At 39.3% G+C, this 20,372-nt stretch overlaps 1 protein-coding gene across 10 annotated transcripts in view; it reads left to right on the forward strand.

Annotated features, from left to right (window-relative positions):
• The window catches only part of DPP10 (dipeptidyl peptidase like 10), a 1,403,140-nt gene that overhangs the window by 54,320 nt on the left and 1,328,448 nt on the right, over nt 1-20,372 (forward strand). The window lies entirely within an intron of this gene.

Here is a 20,372-nt window from a genome sequence, read left to right on the forward strand (position 1 = left end):
TAGAAGGACCTTGGAGACCCTCTCACCATACACAGACATATATATATATAATATGTATATATGTGTGTATATATACATATATATGCATACACATACATATATACATACACATATACATATACATGTACATGTACATGTGTACATGTACGTATACATGCACACGTGTATACATGTAGGTATACACGTGTATACATGTAGGTGTACACGTGTATACATGTGTACGTGTATACATGTGTATGCATGTGTACATATACGTGTGTATGCATGTACGTGCGTATACATGTGTATGCATGTACGTGTGTATACATGTACATGTATACGTGTATACATGTACATGTATACGTGTATACATGTACATGTATACGTGTATACATGTACATATACATACACATGTACATATACATACACATGTACATATACATATACATACACATACATATACATATACACATACATATGCATCTATATATATATGCATATATATAGATGCATCTATTTTATAGATGCATCTAAGAATAGGGTCAGTGGTGAACCATAAACTAGAATGATGAGTATGATTCAGGAAAAAAAACCAAAAACTAACATCACTCTTGTTCCCATTATGGGTCTATAATTTTATTAAGTTATTCAGAGATAGCATCTCAGTTAATAATTCTCATTTAATAATCCCAACAGCCTTGTTAGAGAAGTGGGATAATTTCCATATCGAAAATGAAAACAATCAGACTCAGAGGATTTAAGTAATTTCAGTCAGTCAGTAAGTAGCGGATAGGATTCTGGCCAAGGTCTGTTTAACAACAAAGGACATGTTTGAACTCTCATCCCCTTCAATGGAAAATAAGGCAAAGCCAAGAAGCCAAAAGTACAGGCACCCAACAAAGTGGGAGGCACAGAACAAGGGGGAGGGCAGGTATGAACATCCAGAGCGACTTTGATTCTAGGGAGATGCTCACTCGTCTACGGAAGGTGTATTGTATTCAGTTTCTGTACTTCCGGTCTTCACTCTAGCCTTGCCTTCTGGATTGTTCTACCAAGTACTTTGGCTTTTCTCATAGTCTTTCAAAAATTGTTAATATTATTTTGATTGACCAGTCATAATTGTACACATTTAAGGGGTACAATATGATACTGTGATATATGTATACAATATGAAATTATTAAATCAAGCTAATTAACATATCCATCACTCCAACTACCTATCATTTTTTATGGTAGGACATTTGAAATTTACTCTCATTTTGAAATGTGCAACACATTGCTGACTATAGTCACCCTAATGGGCAATAGATCTCAAAACTTATTCTTCTGCCTGTCCTATTTGAAACTTGGTACCCTTTGAACAACAGCTCCCTACTTCCTCCCTCCCCCTCCCCTGCCAGGCTTTGGTAACCATCATTCTATTCTCTACTTCTGTAAGTTTAATGTTTTAAGATTCCACATATAACTGAGATCTCAAACAAACTCAAATCAGTATGTCAAAGGAATATCTTCTGTCTTAGTCTGTTTTCTGCTGCTACAACAGAATACCACAAACTACGTAATTTATAGAGAAAAGAGATGTATTTGGCTCACAGTTCTGCAGGCTGGGAAGTCCAAGGTATGATGCCCATATCGGGTTGGCCTGGGGAGGTTGTTCTTGTTGCATTGTCCTTTGGTGGAAAGCAACTGAGCATGTGAGACAGGGAGGAAATTGGGCCAAACTAATTATTTTATTAGGAGCCTATTTCTGTGATAACTAATCCCATGATAATGACATTAGTCCATTCAGGAGGGTAGAGCCCTAGTGACCCAATCATCACCTAAAGGTCCTACCTCTCAACATTGTTAAGATTACAGTTAAATTTCAACATAAGTTTCAGAGGAGACACTGAAGACACAGCATCTGCATTCCCATGTCCATGTAGCTATTCACAATAGTCAAGACATGGAACCAACCTTAAGTGTCCATCAATGGATGAATGGATAAAGAAAATGTGTTATACATATGCAATGGAATACTATTCCGCTTTAAAGAATAAGAAAATCTATTATCTAGCACAACATTTATAGATCTGGAGGACAACATGCTGAATGAGATAAGCCAGGAACAGAAAGACAAATCCCATAGTCCTGAAGTCAAATTTTTGCTGCCACAAACTGACGCGTCCATGGTGGCAGCTATCCCTGATCTCTCATGCTATTCATGGGTATGATACAACAGTGGCCAACTTCATTCTCATGCTTTTCACTTCTTGCCTCCCACCTTGGGGGTTTTCAATGACTGCTTAGATATGAGACACCAGGGCACATGCTCACTCCTCATGCATGTGTAATCCAGAAAGGGCAGGGAGTTAACACCCTTTGGAGTGAACTTTGAGCAAGGGCTGTTAGAATGTGTAGATGCATTTTTCTCCCTTCCTCTCCCTGGATGAACTCTTCACATTTATAATAACGTCAGTTGGCCTCTTTGAAGATGTCCTGCAAGGCTAGGCAAACAGCTTCGCTAAGCTGGACAACTCTATAGTACACTCCATTATATTTGTTTCCCCTTACACTCCTTTTCCTTCACTTCTGCTGTTTTGGGACTGCGCCATCTCCCAATAAAATGTTAGCACAAGATGCTTTTGCAAAGGCTTTTTTTTTTTTCTGGGTTAAGAGCAGGGACTGGGCTGTGAAGGAGAGCCATAGGCTAAGATGATAGGACCCACAATTTTCTTAGTGTCTGGTAGTAATCCCAGGTATCCATCAGTTCAGGAAGGTAGGTAGAAACTATAAGTAGATTAAAACAGGGTAGCAAGAAGGACTTCTGAAAAAGTAGTGAGAATAGATCTGACAGCTTCCACCTTTATGGAATGAAAGCTTCATCCTGTAGATTGGTTCTTGTGATGCTTATTTAAAATAAATTTCCTTAAATGAGGCCCAACATGAACCAATTCTCCACCCCTGTGAAAATTTTCTATTGCCAGTTTGAACTTCTATGGGTGATCATACAATCGCATAGCTTCTGAGGAGCTAACTTTCACTCAGAACTTAGGATTCATCTGTTGTCACCTCCTCTGGGGAGAACTCACTGGCCCCTCTCCTTTCTGCCAGCTGTTGAGAATATTAGGGTTCCCTCTTCTGTGTTTCAGAGGTATTTTCTCATTTCTATCGTGGCACATTTTATGCTGTTTCTGCACAATGCAGAGAGATCCTGAAAGCAGAGAATATGCCTTAGCCACTGCTGAATTTCTAGAAACTAACAGAAGCCTGCCACACAGTAGCCATTTAACATGGATTGATTCCATTGACTAAATTAAAGAATTCATGAGGAGCTCTGATCATGGCCTGAGGTTTGCAGTTACCCTATTGAACAAATCCCAGAAGAGAATTTGCGGAATTAGGTCTACATGTAATACACATTTACCCACATGATGAAATAAGATGACAAGAGCTTTGTGGTATCAAAATATCTATGTCTCTGACAATTTTCACAACTTTACTTAATTATATTAGGGTTAAGTATTGGAAAGCCTTGATACAATGCTAATTTGGAAGCATTATACCAAAGTGTTAGATCAGATTAGCCCCAGTTCTCTTCTAAATAGTTCCAGAAACCAGATTTGGACCCAGTCAGCCTAACGGCAGTAAAAACCAAGACCTGTCTATCATGCTACACTGCTTTCTTCAGATGACAGGGGCCTTAAGAGCAAAGTAAGATATTGATTGGCCTCCAGGATCCAGGAAAAACAAAACAAAACAAAACAAAAAAGCCAGAAAGAATACAAGGTGAAGGCAAGACTGAAAGGAAAATAGTTTTGATGTACTAGGAAACAAAATCATTGAATCTGAAACACTGTTGTCTTTGGAATATCCTGAGAGAAAGGAGCCCAACACAGGTCATTTGGCTGGAAGGAAGATCAAGGCAGGAGTCCGTCTGGTGCGTGGGGTTCTCCATGGGAGACTGTCAACAGCTAAGGGCAGCGGAGGGCAATGATGAATGCCTCAGAGCCGAGGGCCACAGAAAAGGCACTGGGAACACTTTCCATGCACTTCATACCTATGACTGAGAGGATGGCCTAGGCAACCTGCTTTAGGGTGGAAACTATAGTTACAAAGATGAGCAGTCACTTAATTTACTAATGAATGACCCCAGGTCTCATAGCTTTTCTTTAGGAAGGATTATATAGTAGTTAAAAAGTGCATGGTTCCCAGATATAGAAAAATCTGGGTATTCACCTTGGCTGTACCATTTACTGTGTGAACATCTCAGGCTACTATCTTTACCTCCATTTGTCTCAGCTGGCACCTCCTTAAAGCAAAAATAATAATATTACTTCAGAGGGTTATTGTGGACATTAGAGAAATATATGTGAAACACCTGTCCAAGTAGCAATGGTGAGTGTGCAATGAATACTAGTTGTTTATCATGTGATTATTAGTCTAATTCTTGCAAAATGTCCCAGCCTTTGTGTTTTGATGAACAAGAATATATTTTTAAAAAATTAAAAAATTTTGTTGTCCTCATAATATAGACATCTGCTCCCTGGGACCTAAAAAGCAATCCATAATTTTCCAAAGCTGCTAAAAAATCTGCCATGTTCTAAATGACCTTTATCAAGCGATCTCCTAGTCTAGAGAGGCGGAGGAGTAACTTGAAGGTGAAATACCCCGTTAGCAATCCCCCAGGTGAATAGAAAATTTAAAATAATATTCTAATGATTCATTGTACATTACTACGCCCCATTAGGTGTCTACATTACATCTTGGGGCACAATCAATATCTGTCATCCTGCTTATGGTTTTGGTGCTAGAGCGGTTCAATTTCATTTTGCAACTCTCATGCTCATGAAGCTGTATCTCGGGTGTCATATGATAAAATATTACTCAGAAGTACGTATTCAGTCCTAAAGCATAGTGGGAAATAATTGATGAAGAAAGTGTCTTTCCATCTGGTCAAACACCATTAAAGTGAGGATACGATTTATATGAGAAAAAACGAAGATTGATATTCCTTTTTTTTTTTTTTTTTTTTGAGACAGAGTCTCAATCCATCCCCTAGGCTGGAGTGTAGTGGTGCAATCTTGGCTCACTGCAACCTCTGCCTCCTGGGTTCAAGTGGTTCTCCTGCTTTAGCCTCCCGAGTAGCTGGGATTACAGGCACGCACCACCACGCTCAGCTAATTTTTGTATTTATTTTATTTATTTTATTTTTTTAGTAGAGACGGGGTTTATCATATTGGCCAGGCTGGTCTTGAACTCCTGACCTTATGATCTGCCTGCCTTGGCCTCCCAAAGTGCTGGGATAACAGGCGTGAGCCACTGCACCCAGCCAAAAGACTGATATTTTATGAAACTTTTTGGTAAATCCACGTGAGAGAGAAAGTTTTTATTCTGTACTCAACATAGTTCCATTACAAGCATTTTTCAAACATTTAAACTGGATTGCTACTTACAAAATTTTAATATAGACAAGACTAGTTCATGAACATATCCCCTTTATAAATACAGGTACCAGTACGTAGACATATATTTCTTGTATTTAAAATTTAAAAAATCATACTACATTTTAGAATATGGCAAAGCTTAAGAGATTCCAAAACAGTCATGGATAAGTAATAAGTCACTTGTCATTGTTCTATACAAAATTAATGAATGAGTTAAGTAACCTATGTTTTGAGCTGTTTCCTTTCAGAATTGAAATGCCAAAGGAGTGACCCTCTTTTTCTCATGTGGGTGCACACAAGCATACTCCAATCGAAATATCTTCCCCACACATTCTACCATGTGGTAGTACCTAGTAAGTACTAACCTACTCACTAGGTTAGTAGAGACTTGTATTAGAATTCAGACATCCTTGGGAGGGTTAAACCCACGATCAAGTGACTCATACTTTCACATGAATTTTTGAAAACTTTAAATGTATGATTTCTATGCAAATTGAGATCAGACTAAGTGTGAATTCTACTTAAAAGAGAGGATTTCGGAGTACTGTGGAATAGGACATGCCAAGGCCCTTGCCACAGCTTGAGACAGACAGAAGATGACATAAAAGTGCGTGTGTGTCTGTGCAAGTGTGCGTGTGCATATGTGTGAAGTATAAAGGGCCCATGGAGGGCTATAGAGATAGATGGATAAGAGTTGAAAAATGGATTTAACTTGGACTGCTCTTCTGTTCAAGATGCTTTTGGCTGCTGCACCCTTTGCAATGGCTCTGGAAAATCACCAATAGCATGGGGCTTCATGCACAGATGCTCTAAGTGCTACTCGACTTACCCAACTTTATAAAAGGAGGGATGTGCACAGCTAGTACATCTGTGATATTTGCTTTGGGATCAGAAATACTAAGTGGGACAGTGGTTTTCTTTGATATAGGGAGATGTTCACCTTAAAAATGACTGGAAAAGTGGCTTGATTTGGTCTTCAATATCTAATCATGAAATGGATATACTTTATAACCAGGGTATATAGTTTGGGAGTTTTGACTGATTATAATTTATGTCATTTCTTTTAAAAGGTTGAGAGATTCAAATGCCTTGATACTGATATATCAATGACACGTTGGAGATGCATTTTTTGGGTTTTAGCATACTGAAGTGAAAGTCAGTCAATAGAATATACATTGATTCCAGGGTAAATGTCCCAAATTTGAGAAAAGAGGTTATCCTGAAAGGGGAGAAATTATCTCACGGTCCCAAACAATATGTTGTTTCATTACACTGTTTGTGGGACAAGAAGGGAAGGGGGTTGGATGCAGGATTAAGACAAGTGAAACTGTCACATAGAAACATGAACTCTGGTTGGGACAATCTCAAAATGCTGCAGGTGTTTGTAAAGCTTGCTGAGATTGACTGGGCTCTCCTATTACTTACTTTTGATGCTGGATTTTGTCTGACTTTTGTCCCATAAAAAATAAGACACTAGAAAGGCTTTTTGGTTTTTATAATTATTCATCAGTTTCTATTTTCACATAGCTTTGGAGCACTGTAGAGGATCCCTTGTATATTTTAGAATGCCTATGTGGGGGAAAGAATCACAAGTAGTAAAGAGCTTACCTTGATTTTTGGAATAGATATGTTTTAACCAAGTGTAGTAAAGTGAATATTCTACTTTCTAGTCATTTGTTACAGAATCAGGCACTACTACCTCCCTACTGTCACAGTAAGTAGCTGTAGTCTTTCTATAACTTAGGACTGGTGTGGGGTGATTTTTGATGGGTAAATTTTCAACATTCTTATTTCAGTCCTGAATTTTAGAATTTTGTTGACATACACAGGATTCTTCAATAGCCTTCTATTTAGTCTTCTATTTGCCACTTCTTATTTCCAACTCATCTTATATGTTACTATGAGACAAATGTTCATTAAACATTACTTTTGTTTGTTTTTGAGCAATTGCTTCTTGAAGTGCCAGTTTTCTATTGCTCTTGTGTATAATCCACTTTTCTCTTTCTGGATTTGAAGGTCATCCTCAGTTTTGCTCCACTTGATCTCATGTTAACTTCCTGCCCCTCCTTATCATGAAAAGTACTCCAGCCTGCAACTAAGCCCTTCTCCTCACCCTCTATCGTTGTCTCTATGCCTGCCTTATGCTATTGCTTTTCCCAAGAGTACCCACCCCACCCTCTTCTTCCTCCTTTTTATACCTTACTGAGCTTTAAGTTTCACCTTAATTTCTACCTGTATAATAACAAAGTAGCTTGCATTCATTGAGACTCCACAATAGGCCAGCCACTATTCTCAACACATGTCATGTATATGTTGTTAAATGTTGATATCACCCTATTGGGGAAGATTCTTCCTCTACCCTCTAAGGGTCTCTGGCAGTACCTAAGAATTAAATTAAACTGAGGTGGCTGGGCGTGGTGGCTCATGCCTGTAATCCCAGTGCTTTGGGAGGCTGAGGCAGGCAGATCACAAGGTCAGAAGTTCGAGACCAGACTGGCCAATATGGCAAAACCCCATTTCTACTAAAAATATAAAAATTAGCCGGGCATGGTGGCGGGTGCCTATAGTCCCAGCTACTCGGGAGGCTGACTCAGGAGAATCGCTTGAACCGGGGAGGCAGAGGTTGCAGTGAGCCAACATCGCGCCACTGCACTCCAGCCTGGGCAACAGAGTGAGACTCTGTCTCAAAAAAAAAAAAAAAAAAAAAAAAAGAAGGAAACTGAGGTAACACAGATCAACAGGAGAATATCATACACAATTTGCTAAAATTTTACATATATGTGGAAGTCCTTACAAAACAAAATAAAAAAATATAGACCCAAAGAAGTGACCAAAACAGATAGCTTATATACCTTTTAGACAAAGAAAGGATAAATTTTTAAAGAAATGATAAGACAAAGGGATTTGGGCTAGGAGCAATAAATTGTAGGGAAGTAACTAACAGATATATTGGGGAAAACTAGTAGAAGATAAAGGTTATTTTAGCAAGCTTGTTTGAACAGATTCATTTCAGCATTGATTCCCAGTCTCTGGTGATTAGAGTGTTCCTCTTTTCTTGGTACAGGGAGAGCACCTTTCTCAAATGAAATTTATGTGTTTTTTTTTTTAATGGCCCATTTTTAGGTAGCAAAGGGGAGGTCAGAGACCCCTTCCTGCATCTGCTGTTCCTCAAGTATCTCCAACTCAAAATAATCAATATGCCCAAATAGCATATTTTGAGGTGGCATGTCCTGAACTCCTTCAAACTGTATAAGGTAGTTCTACATCTCCATTTTACAAATAATGGCATCAAGGCACAAAGGAATAAACTCACTAAGGGACACAGTTGTGAAGTCACTCCGCTGGGACACAAAGCCAGCTGCCTGCCCCACACCCTGTTCTCTCTGCCACTCTGCTGCCCTTCCCTTCAGTCTTCTCGGACTCTCCAGCTCATTCTGCTTTCCTCTATCTATGAACTTATATGGTAGCTGTTTTCAAAACCGTACAGTTTATCATTTCATTGTGACGAGTTCATGCATGTTAGTTTTTTCTGAGCAATTACATAGCAAGATATCTTGAAATGATTTCTATGCCTCATTCTACTTTCTTTCCAAAGCAGTCCTGGCTCCTGGTAAGAACTCATTAAATACTTTGTGATTGATAGATAATACAAATAATAGAGATAGGAGGCAGGGGAATTCTGGGCAGAAGAAGGCAGGTCCCCGGCAAGGGCCCCAACCTCAAGCCTGAAACCACAGCCCAAAGTGAGAACATACATACCTGTTTTCCCACTCAAATGTTGCCTTTTCCAAAACCACCCATGGCCTGTCCCACTCCCAATCCTGTGCCCATAAAAACCCCAGAACTCAGCCAGCAGAGAGGAGAAGCAGCTGGATGTGGAAGACTATGGTTAGATGTCAGAGAGAAGTGACTTGACTTCAGAGGGACAGCTTGATGGCATAGCTTTGGAGAGGAATCCGGCCGTTCCTCCTCCATCCCCTTTCCAGCTCCCCTTCCTGCTGAGAGCCACTTTCATCGGTAATAAAATCCCCTGCACTTACCATCTCCAATTTGTTCCTGTGACCTTATTCCTCCTGGATGCCAGACAAGAATTTAGGTGCCATGAGTGCGGGTACAAAAGGCTGTCACACTGACCTTCCACTGAGCTTTTAACACTTAAGCCATCCAGCCATCCACAGATGGCAAAGTTGAAAGGGCACTGTAACACTCCTTCTAGGGCTTCAGGTGTTGCAGGCACCCCCCTAGATGCTGCTGTGGGGTCTGCACAAAGTTTTGCTCCTGCCGGCACCCAAAAACACTCATCCTGGCTCCCGTGTCCACTCACCTGCTCTCCCCCTCCCACAAAAGGTGGAACACAACTGGGCCAAGCAAGTGGAGTCTGACCCTGCCAGCACCAAAGGAGCCAGCTAGCCTGTGAAGGCATCAGGGAAGTATCATGCTTCACAAAGACAGCTCTCCTCCCCTCCTATGATACAAACAATTGTATTGATTTTTGTAATTCACTCTGACTATATAGACCAAGTGCCTTCAAGCACGGTGACATACTAAAAAGTATACATTTCATGTGACTGATCTACAAAGTAGCCCTCAGCTTAGCTGAGAGTTGACTAGCATCCTGCAATGGTTTCTGAGTTGGGCTCCAGTGGGTCTGAATTATTCAGTTTTCTTTTTTTTCTTTTTTTTTCTTTTTTTTTTTTTTTGAGACAGGGTCTCACTCTGTTGCCCAGGCTGGAGTACAGTGGTGTGATCTTGGCTCACTGCAGCCTCCACCTCCTGGGCTCAAGTGATAATCCCGCCTCAGCCTCTCGAATAGCTGAGACTACAGGCATGCACTACAACACCCCAGGTAATTTTTGTAGTTTTTGTAGAGACAGAGTTTTACCGTGTTGTCCCGGCTGGCCTCAAATTCCTGGGCTCAAGCCATCCACATGCCTCAGCCTCCTAAAGTGCTGGCATTACACGTGTGAATCACTATGGCCAGCCTTCAGTTTTCATTTGCATTGTTCTGAAACAATTTTTTAACATTCCATGTTATACAAACATCACACAAACAAGAAGATTACACCATTTGTGATACGTACGTGGTTATAGTTCACATAATAGGAGACACTATTCAACTACCTTAAAATCAGCTTACTGAGCACCAGAAACAACATGATTCATATATTGGCTTAAAAGTCCAGTATCACTGTGATTTTCCTGATTTTTTCTTTTTTTAAAAAAAACCATATGATGATTATGACTTGAGGTTCTATCCGGGATTGATACTGGAATAATTCTTGAAGGTTGGTGGTTGGGGACAGAGACCTGGTAATCAGGCAGACCTGATTTGGAATCTCAGCTGTACCACTGATTAACGTGGCAATTTTAGCAAGAAACTTAGCTTCTCTGAACAACTACTTCTTGATATCTAAAGTGGGAATAATAACCCCTACTCTGCAGGGTTGCTATAAGAATTAAATTCAATAATGCATATAAAGGAATTATACTTTCTACCACATGGTAATTGCTCAATAAAATGTTTTTATTAGTGGTAATCATGTATCCATAAGCATAGTAATTGATATATGCTGACTCACCTGAAAAAATGGCAAGTAGAATTTGGAAATGACAGCCTCTTTTCTTCCTTTTTTCCTTCTTTGCTTCCATCCTTCCTTCCTTTCCTCTTTCTTTCCTTTCTTCTTTTTTCCATCTCTCTCTCCTCCTTTTCTTTCTCTCTTCTTTGTTTCTTTCTGAGGCATAATTTACATACAATAACATGTATTTATTTTGATGTACAATTTGATGGATTTTGGTCATTGTATGCAGTCAAGTAAACGTCCTTACACTGAAGCTATAAAATAGTGCCATCACCCTAAAACATTTCCTCATGTCCTTTTGCAATCAACTCCTCACTTCCATTCTCAACCTCAGGTAACCACTCATCTGTTTTTGATCACTATAGTTTGGTCATTTCTAGAATTCCATATACATGGAAACGTAAATTATATAGTTTTTTACATTCGATTTCTTTCACTTAGCATACTTTTTGTGATTGACTCATGTTAAGTGTAATAATATTTTGTTTATTTTTATTGCTAGTAATGTTTCATGGTATGAATATATCACAGTTTGTCTATTCACTAGCTGATAGACATTTGGGTTGTTTTAATTTTTGGCTTTAGGAATACTGTTGCTATAAACACTTGATTGCAAGCTTTCGTGTGAACTTACTCTCCTTACAGGGCTTAGTGTGCCCAGAAAAAGGACACTGGGTTACAATGGGAAGTATAGCACATCAGAGCATCTAAGTTGTGTCTTCTCCTTGCCTCTAGTGATGATAATGAGAGTAATAAAGCCGACTTTCATTTATCTAGCCTGTTTCCTCCTCTCAGAGAGGCTGCTTTCACAGCCCCCACTGTCCCCAAAGAGTCAGGTTAGCTTGTCCCCATCTCATCACTGGTTCATTGAGCTGTGGTAGACACCTGCCTCAAACTGGACCAAATGGATTTTCTACCCTGAGAACGTGAAATTCAGAAACAGGGTCTTTTAAAATTAATTATGTATGCTTAAACTAGAGGTAAGATAGACTTAGCTAGGATGGGCAATTTGAGTCGAATACCAAGACAACCGACATCTCCAGTGTGAGGAAAGAGACAGCGAGAGTGAGAAAGAGAGAGAGAGAGAGAGAAAGAGAGAGAGAGTGAAACTGCAGATAAGCAATGAAATCCAGAAATAAGAGACTAGATTTCAAGACAGAGAAGTGAGCTATATTTATTTCACCCTCTTTCAGTACTGTAAGATGCCACAAAATCCTTTAAACTCTGTGGTTTTGCCAGATGCTCTGAAAGTGTTCCAGGGAACTCTCTCTTTGGTTTGAACTAGGTTCAGCAGGCTTTTGTTTCTGACAAATAAAATAACCAAATAATCCCTGACTGAGACAAATCATAATTGTTATGAAGATTTGTTGAATCCTAACTACCTACCTACTTTAATAATAATTCTATTAATCCTTTCTTACATCGGATCACCAAAACAACCCTGTAAGGAAGGATTTTTCTTTGAAGGAACTGAACTAAGAAATGAGTTCAGTTAGTCGAGAAATTAAATAATTTGTATAAGGTTACATGTTTGGAGGGTAGCAGGCCTGGAGACTAAATTCTGAACTGCTTTTCCCCAAGGTCTCTGATGGAAATAGCAGTCCCATGCTGGACCCTGGGTGTGACATGAAGGAGACAGCGTAGGGCTCCATACAGCTCCCCCAGCTTGGTGATCTCTCTTTATATATCTAAGAAAGTGAGTGGAGTAATAGGCATTGAGAGGGCTCCTGTCTATGGACTCCACTTTCTCTGTGAATCTAGATTATTTGCTGTTAATAAGGGAAGATTTGATAGTGTTGGATATTTGAAGGAAGTCATTTGTGAATGCTATCAGATGCCAATTTGGAAATGCAGAAAGATTATAAGCCAGTATGGTCCTATAAGGACTATATTTCATGTAAGTAAAGTTGAGAGAAATAGAGACATTTCCCTCTTAAATGTTTGCCTGTTGGTTTGTTTTTACATTCATTTTGTGGAGGAAACACATGACTTTAAAAAAATGTAAACTATTTCTGTTTCTTCTTATGAGTGAATCGTGGTGGGAAAGACTTCATGGACAGAGTGAAAATGAAAGAAATGCTTTCTAAAGCAAAACACAGAAAAGGAGAAAGCTGGCTAGGAGGTGATAAGGAATATGAAAAGACTCCAGGAGTTATAAGAGAGAACTCAGAAGTTACAGTGATTCCCCTGCCTGGTGGGCTTCAGAAGCATTTGTAGAATGAGTGCAGCATAAGTTTTAGTCATGCAATTTGGATGTGAATAGAGACTTTGCACTATCTGGCCTTTCACCACTTCCTTTTCTTTTCTCAACTTGGGCCTTCTCATCAGAAACTGAGGATTGTTACACCTCACAGGCTAGTTGTATCAACTAAATGGGCTGTCCAGGAGTGGTGGCTCATGCCTGTAATCCCAGCACTTTGGGAGGCCAAGGTGGGTGGATCACGAGGTAAGGAGTTTGAGCCCAGCCTGACCAACATGGCGAAAACCTGTCTCTACTAAAAATACAAAAATTAGCTGGGCATGGTTGTGTGTGCCAGTAATCCCAGCTACTCAGGAGGCTGAGGCAGGAGAATTGCTTGAACCCGGGAGGCAGAGGTTGCAGTGAGCAAGACTGCGCCATTGCACTCCAGCCTGGGTGACAGAGCAAGACTCTGTCTCAAAAAAACAAAACAAAAAAACAAAAAACAAACAAAAATCCTAAATGGGTTAATGCAAGTAAAATACTAAGCCTGCTGATATAGAGCAGGTGCTCAATAAATGTCAGGTTTCCTATCACCACTTCATACTGTTCTTTGAGACATTCATTGGTTTTTCAACTGTTTGCCTTTAGGAGGATTTCTTCTGGTCTGGACAATCGAAGAGGTTCACAGTGATGCACGTCATTTCCTGGCCTACAGTGAAGTGACAATTGTACACTCAAACACAAATCTAGATGTAAATATCACAGACTTATTTGTAGTTATTAATTTAAATTGGTTAAAACACCTTCTTAGTTACAGATACCAAAGAGCTTAAGTATGTGGTTTAAAGCATTAGACGCAAAAGGTATTACAGACGCATTCAGGGATGATGGGTATCCCCGGATCCTAAGGCCTAGTGAATGGTCTCTTCTGTAGAAGACAGAGAGGATAAGAGTGGGGACTAACAATTCAATCTTATACCAAAGATAAATAAGTATGTATAGATATCAACATAGGTATATAGGTATAGATAAATAGGTATAAATATATATGGATATAGTTCTAAAGCATACTACTTTACACTCTGCATACAAAATATATTAGTTGATAGCTTTTTATATTTAGCCTTGAATATTCTTTTGTGCAGAGAGACTTTATAAAATCAATGTGACTCCAAGAAAGTATTAGCAGGAATTCAGGCCCTGAGAAAGACAAGCTTATGGAGCAGGTAAAAAGTTTCATAATTGGGTCCTCCAGTGTTGTGCTAAATACAGACAGAACTGTCAGAGTAGGCTTTTGACATTTGCCCATTTATTCTTGCACTAAAATGAGCAATTTAAAAACGGTTGGAAAGAAATCAGTGGCTATTTTTGAACACCATCCTCTGAAAGTACAGCAGATAAAAACAAAACAGAACAAATATATGGAAAAATATGTAGCTGATATCAGGGAAGCCCAAAAACCACCTTAGAGTTACACATTTTCCAAGATCTCAACTGAGCTTCTGAACCACTCCCAGTCAAATCAAACTCGATTATTTGTAAAGATGCTGTCTAATGATCAGTAGAAAGTGAAGACACACAGGATATGTCTCCATCAGCTCTTAACACACGTTGGCTCCCAAACCTTACAATAGCTCAAACTTCTCCTGCAAGTTTGATCCACAAAGTGATCCTGAACTAACACGAGCAGCCCAGGCATGATGGCATCACCCCAGAACAGAACACTTCCTCCAGGCATACATTGTCTGTGAGCTTCAAATTGCTTCTTGTCCTGTATTGTTTCCAGATGATGAGTTTTCCATAAATGTTGTCTCTTGCTAGAAAATGTTATATTCCAGCATCTACCTTTAAAGGCAACTATCAAAACAATAATCTTTAAAGATCTGCAGATGCCTGTGGAGATGAGACTCATAATTACTCTGATGAAATTGTTGTCTTTGAACATAGCAATGAAGAGTTATTTTTATTTGGGAAAAAGTGTAGAAATAAGAAAATAGCATAGTAAGGCTGCTCTTGACTTTCGTACAGCTTCAGCCTTTTCATGAAACATAACTCAGATGATCTTCTTCTGAATTAGTGAACCCTGATGTTAGTTATATAACCAGGGGACCACGGTGTCAGCCTTGTTATTTTAAGGGTCTTTTCCAGTCTGCAAGACCCAACCAATTTCCTTCACCTTTCACATGTGGACTTCTCATTGTTACTAAACTAACCATCCCTTCCTGCTCATCTCTACACATACTTTAGGACTTATTGATTTCATGGACGTTCATTTGTCTCACAAACTTGGTGATATAGAAACTGCATTTTCTGCTTTGGTGCACCCCTTAGAGAGCCTAGTGTGGTTCAGACAAACCTGATGAGATGCACAACTTGGAGGTCTCGATTTTCTCATCTGTAAAACTGGGCAAGTTGTTATAAGGATTGTGATACTATACAGGAAAGTGCTAAATACCGCAGGCACAGATGAAAGGAAATCTTTCCCTCTCCTGGCACAATGCTACGGATGCAAACAAACACATTGTTTTACCTTTACATATCATGAGTTACCCAGAGTTTTCTCGTTCATGTATGAAGGGAGTACTAATTCGTCATCACCAAAGCATGAGCATATTTAGAACTGGATTTTGAGTTTTGTAAAGATGTGTAAACTTCCCAGGTGCCAGTAGCAGGCCTGTGTAGATGTTGTCCTCATCAAGGATCAGGGACTGCTTGTTGTCACGTTCCTGTTGAGGAATGCCTGCACCTCTGACCAGCCTCAAACACTGCTGTAGAGGAAAGATTAGAAATATAAATTATGTAAAATGCAGATCATTGACTGAACATTTGACTGTTCAAGGAGTTGCATTTTACTGCTTGGAATACCTTTTAAAGTGAAGGAGAAGAAAAGGAGGAAGGGGGAGGGAAGGGAGGAGAAAAAGAAGAGGAGGAAGTTGAGAAGAGGGAAAGTTGCTCCATAATTTACAAGGCTCTTTTTTTCACAGTGGGATTATTATTTCCCATTATCACATGAAACAATCTTCATTACTTTTCTTAATTCTGTCTTCATTCTCACTTCACCTTGTCCTTTTATATATGTTCTCTCAACTTGGGAATAAGAAACTGGACCTTTACAGCTGGGCACGGTGGCTAACGCCTGTAATCCCAGCACTTTGGGAGGCCGAGGCAGGTGGATCATGAGGTCAGGAGTTCGAGACCAGCCTGACCAACATGGTGAAACCCTGTCTCTACTAAAAATACAAAAATTAGCCAAGTGTGGTGGTGGGCACCTGTAATCCCAGCTACTCAGGAGGCTGAGGCAGGAGAATTGCTTGAAACCGGAAGGCAGAGGTGGCAGTGAGCCAAGATTGCACCACTGCACTCCAGCCTGGGCAACAAGAGTGAAACTCTACCTCAAAAAAAAAAAAAAAAAAAAAAGAAACTAGAGCTTTACGAGACCAAATATATCTGAATATCTGAGGCTTTAGAAAAACAGAAGAAAGGAAGGAAGGGAGGAAAAAGAAAGAAAGAAAGAAAGAAAGAAGAAACAGACAAAATAAAAGCTTTGGAATTGCTATAGAAAGGATTAGATTAGATGACTAGCTAAGACCTTTTCTCGTGTCTGTATTTGGGGAAGAGAAGGCATGAATTTCCCCTTTTAGTTAGGTAAACGTATTTTTATATTGAGAACCTCTTGCATAAGGACAGGTGAATTAATATACTCATTGAAAATGAAATGACTTCAGAGCTCAAAAAGATCTTGAGAATATCTGGCGCAGTGTTTTTGAAACTTTTAAGAAATCAGCATAATTATTCCCCCCATTTATATTTCAGTTAAGTAAAATTGACTCTAAGTGCATAAAATACGGGAAACCTGGCTACTAGGGTTTGAATCGAAAGCAGGGTTTGTGTTATCCAAGGCATCTTTCCTCCCCTTCGCTGTCCTTCTCTTTCTCCAAGGTTAAGTCTGAGGAGTTTTCTAGAAAACCTCAAATTCAGTGGAACACATTCTACCTCCATCATAATGTGAAAAGAATCTGTGGTCTAATCTGATGAAATAATTTGCTCGTGGCTAGCTGATAAAAAGCACTTGTAGCTAACACATATTGAGTGATGAACCTGGACTAGATGCATGAAGTACCTAATCTCCCCACCAACCCTGTGATGTACACACTCTTATGACACTAATTTTATAGAGAAGGAAACTGATTTCAGAGAGCTTAAGTGATTAGAAGCAAATCCATGACTAGACCTTGGTGTCCTTAACCCTCAGGGCAATGCTTTGGCACTCTACAATCTTACCTCCTAGAAACACCTTCAAAACCACCCTATGATTAGAACTGAATTTTAGCATCTACAAAAATTCACAGTTCACTTTTAGTTCTCTGTTTTCCTGGGTTCTTCCCAGGAATTTAAGTTATTTTGAGACCAGAGAAGCTTAAGGCATTGACATTCCACATGCCCTCAGGATTTAACTTAAGCTCCAGGCTGTTTCAATACCAAAGATTTTGCCTCAAACTTTGCCACCACTGAGAACTTGGGGATGTGAAAACCACTGAGGCAGCAATGGCAAAGAGAAGAGTGGGAAAGGCCTTTCCAGGATCCATGTGCAGAATTAGATTTGTGTACCACCTGTGATAACTGGGAAAGATCTTTTTTTTCTGGTTTTTTTTTTTGTTCCTTTTTTTTTCCACGTTGGAGGCAGGAATAAAGCAGGTGAGGGTTCCATCAGAGTATCTGCCCTAATTTCCTGTAACAGCAACAGGAGTTACCCATTACTCCTATTGCCAATAGATATCATGGCTTCACTCCTAAACCATACTCAGAGCATTCACTTGTTGATGTTAGTAAGGAAAAGCAAGTTGTGCATAAGCAGTATTATACAGCATGCTTCAGTACAGTTTGTAGCTATTTGCTTAACTGAAATCTAGGTACAAGCCTCTTCAAATAACAGATCTTCTTTTTCTGTATGTTCCTTAAAGAGAAAGAGGAAAGAGAAAAGAAACATGCCTGGAGTGAGCATTTATCACCAAGACAATTTCCAATTTCATCTCACGATCAGGTTTACTTCCCAATATTCTACAACCGTACCATTTTATCATGGGCATAAACATTGAGAATAATGACTCTTGTGTCTTTTCAGAGCCTAATTTGTGATGAGAGAATTTTAATGTTGGAAACAAACTTTAAAGGTACCGAAGTCCAGACGTCTAATATACCCTAGAATCTCTCTGCAGCTCGTTGGCAACAGACATCTGGCCCAGCTGTGATGCTCTAATAAGTCCAGGCAAGAGGACCATAGCACTTTAGAAAGACATGAAGCTTACTGAAGATATGACTTACAAATAGAGCTTTTGGTACAGTGCAGTCTGAAACTGATTTTCCTAAAAATAAAATGCTCACGTAGGTCTCAAATAAAGGTGCCTCGCTCCTCAGATAGATAGAAAATAGTACAACACCCAACCTAAATAGTCAAAATAAAAATATTGTGTATCCAAAAAAAAGTTTTAGAAATGTATTTAGTTACCACTTGGAGCCAGAGGTAGTTGCCAACCCAATTTCATTATAAGTGAAATTTCTAGGGTATTAAAAATGGCTCTCCTCTTCTTCTTCCTCTCCCTTTTCCTTCTTCTTTTTCTGTTGATTTTTTATCATTTAATTTTGATCCACAATTCTGTATAACATCTACATCTCATATCAACCTTTTTTTTTTTCTAGAATTATTCTACTCCCTGGGTCAGTCCCCAAGATGTTTCACTTCATTATGGATCTCCTTAGCGCTGGTGCTAAGGTTAAAACATTAATTCTCCGCATGCTGAGAGTTACTTAGCTCCATGGTGAAGTCTCTATCTGCCAAAAGTCTCTGTTCAAATAAATATGTAACTGGTGATTCTACAGCATGCATTAGAATCATGCAGAGGGTTTGTTAAAACACAGCCTGCTGGGCCCCACCCTCCTAAGTCTCTGATTCAGTGGATCTGAGGGAGCCCAAGAATTTGCATTTTTAGCATCTTCCCAGGTGCTGCAGATGTTACTGGCTCAGCAACAACACTTAGAACAACTGTTCTAGAAAGAGAGTCCCTAGAACTGTTGCATTCTAGTTAAAGATGGTGGGAATGGGAGGAAGACATTGCTCTATACCAGGCTGTTATGGGCAAATTCGGGAGATAATTGTGATGAGGTTGAAAGGTTTGAATTTAATCTCCAAATTTCAGTCAGAGAGTAAGATTCATTAAGGCTTTTTTCCATCCCCCTGCAAAGTCCATTCTTCCAGCCAGCTCTTGCTCCAGCCCTGCTGTGATGAGACTCTGCTGTTTTCTGTTTTAGCTACTTCTGCAGCTCTCCCAACCCTGGAAAAGATGAAGAAAGATGATGATTTTGTTCTCAGCTCTTAGTCTTTAGCCTTTGGACAGCCATCAAAAGTACATTTTAAGGAAAAGGGGGAAAATATGTCTACTAGGAGAAATGCCTTGTATTAGACTATTATATCAGTGATTTGCTTTTACTTAATGTAGTATTGAGGAGAAAATGCCTCTCTTTTATTATTCAAATGGTTTGCTTTTACTTTACCAAATTACAAGAAAGCATACCAAATGCAGGCTTCTAAATAGTTTAAACTGGTTTACCACATTAAACTCAAAAGAGAGTATTTCATTAAAAAATATAAATGGACTGGAGCTGTTTTCTGACAATACACTGTTGGGCTTTTTTTAAACTTCTACTTTTGTTTTATGAACCGAACTACTGGTGTTTAATACTCAAAGATGCTCAGCTTTTAGGTAATATTTGTTGTAGGAATTCTTAAAAGCCACAGATACTGCTAATGGGGAAAAAACAACTTTTCTTATGTTGAGGTTATAGCAACTTTGGTGGATAACAGTTAATACAATTAGTTTTCCATCAGTTTCTCTAAATGCATTTTTTTTTTCTAACTAACTTTAGGGTATTCTGTATCCTTGGCATTGATTTAGTGAGATCTTCATTACATGGCATTTCACTTTAGTTTCCATTGCAGATTGATATCACAGGTAATAACTGAATCTTTAGGGTTTGAAGAAGCTGACCTTTCTTTAAGAGATCTAATCATTTCACGGACAAGTTCCAGTGGTATTTCTATTAAGAAATCAGGGTATGGCTGGGCACAGTGGCTCATGCCTGTAATCCCAACACTTTGGGAGGCCGAGGCGGGAGGATCACCTGATGTCAGGAGTTCGAGACCAGCCTGGC

Source organism: Homo sapiens, chromosome 2 (assembly GCF_000001405.40).
Source record: "Homo sapiens chromosome 2, GRCh38.p14 Primary Assembly".
Taxonomy (NCBI): domain Eukaryota; kingdom Metazoa; phylum Chordata; class Mammalia; order Primates; family Hominidae; genus Homo; species Homo sapiens.